Here is a 3385-nt window from a genome sequence, read left to right on the forward strand (position 1 = left end):
AATTCTTAACATGGGACAACATGCCAAAAATAGTTACAATGCTGCATATATTTAAAGTATTTTCCTGAAATAATTTACTCTTTTAACACACAATGCAATATAATTGTGCTTTTCACAAGTTGATTAGAGGATATATTTTTTAAATCCTTTGATTCATTTTGCAGGATGGGTGGCATGGGCCGATATGGAGGCATCACCTATAGTTGCATGAAGAAAGTTGTCTCCTTTTAAAATTGTCAGAGTAGCTCTGTGACCATGTGTATGACCTCATTTGGAGATAATGTCATAAAGCCATGCGGGAAACCCTTTGGGAATGTAGGGTCTGGGTCAAATGGCCTTGCATTGAGAAACCAGGAAATTCACTTTTCAGCTCTTTTCCATATCTGTAAAGTGGGAATTACAGTCCCTATCTCACTGGTTTGCTGTGAGAAGTCAATGAAACAATATTGGTAAAATGCTTAACTCAGAACCTGGCAATGGGGGTGGTGTGTGTGTGTGTGTGTGTGTGTGTGTGTGTGTGTGTGTGTGTGCCCTGTTTCCTCCCCGCCCCGACACTTGCCTTTGAGATTAGAGGAGCTTGTTGTGTGGCTTCTGTAAAGTTCCCAGACTCTGGTGAGTGTCACATCAGTGTCTGATGAAAGGCAGCTTGTAAATATAAAATGCTGCTTTGATTGCAATAAAGGTTCATGCACAAAGTAAGAGAAATAACAGGAACAAAAATAAAGAAAAGAAAAAAGTTCAGGCTAGGTCAACAAGTCCACGTTTCCTACCTGAACTGTGGGCTCTGGGATGGGTTGTTGGGGACAGACCTTGAAGCAGAGAGGACCACAGAGCCAGGACCAGGGCCACAGGGCTTGAGGAATTGTCTATTCCTGCTGAGGGTGGGGAGTTCAGGAGAGCAACGATTTCTGTTCCTTGTTGATGACCTTGGCCAACTCTTCGACTCCTCAGGCTGCTCTTTTTCCCGCCCCCAGGTGGCGCTCTTTCCTCCTTCCTTCCCACCCCTCCATTGGTGACTTCATCCACCATCGTGGTGCAGCCCTAGCTTCTATCTGGACAACGCCCACCTTTCCCTCCCATACCGATCTCAGTGACGTCTCCATGAAGCCCTTCTAAGTTTCACCCATGCAGAGGTGGAAATACATGATTGCACTTGTTATTTAAGGAGGTTTCCTGTGTGCCCCCGCTGTGCTGAGGCCTCGATATAGAATCTCAGTTATTCCTCAGGAAATCTTCGCATGCAAGTGGTTTATTTGGGAAAGGATCCCAGGAAACACTGGCAGGAGAGATGGGAAGTGAGACGGGAAGGGAAGGCGGCCAGCAAAGGGGGCATGGATGGATGAGCTGGTCATAGAATGTTTGAAGAGACATGGCTTAGGAAGGAAATTCATTTGAATTTTTTTAACTTTGGACCTGTGCTTTCAAATGTCTTCTCCCTTGCCTGGCACAGTGGCTCATGCCTGTAACCCAGCATTTTGGAAGGCCGTGCAGGAGGATTAATTAAGGCCAGGAGTTTGAGACTAGCCTGGGCAACATAGTGAGACCTCGTCTCTATAAAAAAATCAAAAATATTAGTGGGGCATGATGGTGTAGACCTGTAGTCCCAGCTAGTTGGGAGGCTGAGGAGGGAGAATTGCTTGAGCACAGGAGTTTGAGGCTGCAGTGAGCTATGATTGTGCCACTGTACTGCAGCCTGGGTGACAGCGCAAGACCCTTTCTAAAAAAAGAAAGAGAGAGAGAGAAGGGAGAGAGAAAAGAAGGAAGAAAGGAAGGAAGGAAGGAGAAGAAAGAAGAAAGAAAAAAAGAAAGAAGAAAGAAAAAGAAAGAAAGATGGATGAAAGAAAGAAAAAGAAAGAAAGAAAGAGAAAAAAGCTCACTGTTAGAAAAAGAAGATTGACAAGGATGAAATAATGATAAATCCCAGGGGGATGAGCCTCCCAGCTCAGTCTCTGCTGGAAAAAAGTATTGAAAAGCACAGGTCCACCATGAAAAGAAATTAAAATGAATTTCATTCTTAAGCCAAACATATTCCAGAGAATCCATTTTAAGCCCTCCTGAACATTTATTGAAACCCCCTTCCATCTCCAACCCCAAAAGCTCCAAAGGACCTCACTTCTTGCTCCCCTTCCCAAGCCCCTGCTCTCAGCCTCCTCTCCCCTCTTCCCCATCTGTCCCATAAATTTGATCCCAGCAAGCAAGAATCCCTTCTTTTTATGAGCTAGAAAACTGACCAGTGACAGAAGATTTTTATTCACAGGAGGAGAGAGAGGATACTTCATTAATTTCAGTCCTACCTGTTGTACATATGTGTGTCCTGTAATAAATCATTTGTCTGACCCTTGTTTCTGGTTCCTAGGAGGAAGCTTCTAATTCTTGGAATTTCCTGAGTGATGGGATTGCCTGAGTTTATGCTAACAAGGTGACTCGGGATGGTGGCCAGCCACACCAGAAAGACCAACTGTGTGATTAGAGAGTTGGGACTTTGGGCCAGTGACATCAGCCTGATGATGTCTGGGGAGTGGAGGGGTTGCTGGAGATTGAGTTCAATCATGTGGCCAGTTATCTAGTCAATCATGCCTACATAATGAAACCACAAAAAAACCTCTGAATGATGAGACTCAGTTGAGCTCCCCGGGTTGGGAGTCATACTTCTGTGTGCTCAGAGGGCGACACAGAAGCTTTGTGAATTGGGCCCTCCCATGGGTTTTTTTTGGGGGGGTTGTTCCTTTATAATAAACAATTATAGAAAGTACAGTGCTTTTTTAGTGCTTTGAGTTGGTCTATGAGTTACTGAACCTGAGAGAGTAATGGGAGCCCCCGAATGTGTAGCCAGTTTGTCAGAAGTGTGGGTGGCCTGGGAGCCCTGGCGCTTGCAGTGGGTGCCTGAAGGGAGGACAGTCTTGTGGAAGACTGTGCCCTTAACCTGTGAAATGTGACCCAAGTCCAGGTGGCTGGTGTCAAAACTGCATTGCCTTATACTGTGGCTCAGACCATATGACAGAGATGAGAATCTGTCATTTCTGCTTGGAGAAATCAGTTTTTGGGGTGTGACTAATTTTTGCTCTGGGACCCAGATTTCACCCCCCCTAGAGTTGAGAGTTCTGCCCTTGTGTTTTATTTTCTGCTTTTGGCTAGAGATGTGAATGAGGGTGAGAAGATTATTGCCTGGGGATTGAAAACCAGGCCACAATGAAGTGGGACCCCCAAGGCCAAGAGTCCTGTCTGTGTTTTCCTCCTATAGGGAGATTGGCAGGTGGGGTCAGAGGCTACATTCATAAAGCATCTCAATTTTCCTCCACAGTTTGTGCTACTTAATGGCCCTGCATAAATACTTCTACAAGAGCCAACAAATTAATGACTCATAAGGCCCTTTAAAGCATTGGAA

General features: G+C 45.1%; 2 annotated features.

Annotated features, from left to right (window-relative positions):
• Positions 913-992: an enhancer, noted in NCBI's record as "active region_25558". NCBI's record gives its function as "activates an Ori minimal core promoter by ATAC-STARR-seq in GM12878 lymphoblastoid cells {active_cell/tissue: GM12878}" and the evidence as "EXISTENCE:reporter gene assay evidence [ECO:0000049][PMID:35858748]".
• Positions 1033-1082: an enhancer, noted in NCBI's record as "active region_25559". NCBI's record gives its function as "activates an Ori minimal core promoter by ATAC-STARR-seq in GM12878 lymphoblastoid cells {active_cell/tissue: GM12878}" and the evidence as "EXISTENCE:reporter gene assay evidence [ECO:0000049][PMID:35858748]".

The sequence above is a fragment of the Homo sapiens genome, chromosome 7 (assembly GCF_000001405.40).
Source record: "Homo sapiens chromosome 7, GRCh38.p14 Primary Assembly".
NCBI classification, from domain to species: domain Eukaryota; kingdom Metazoa; phylum Chordata; class Mammalia; order Primates; family Hominidae; genus Homo; species Homo sapiens.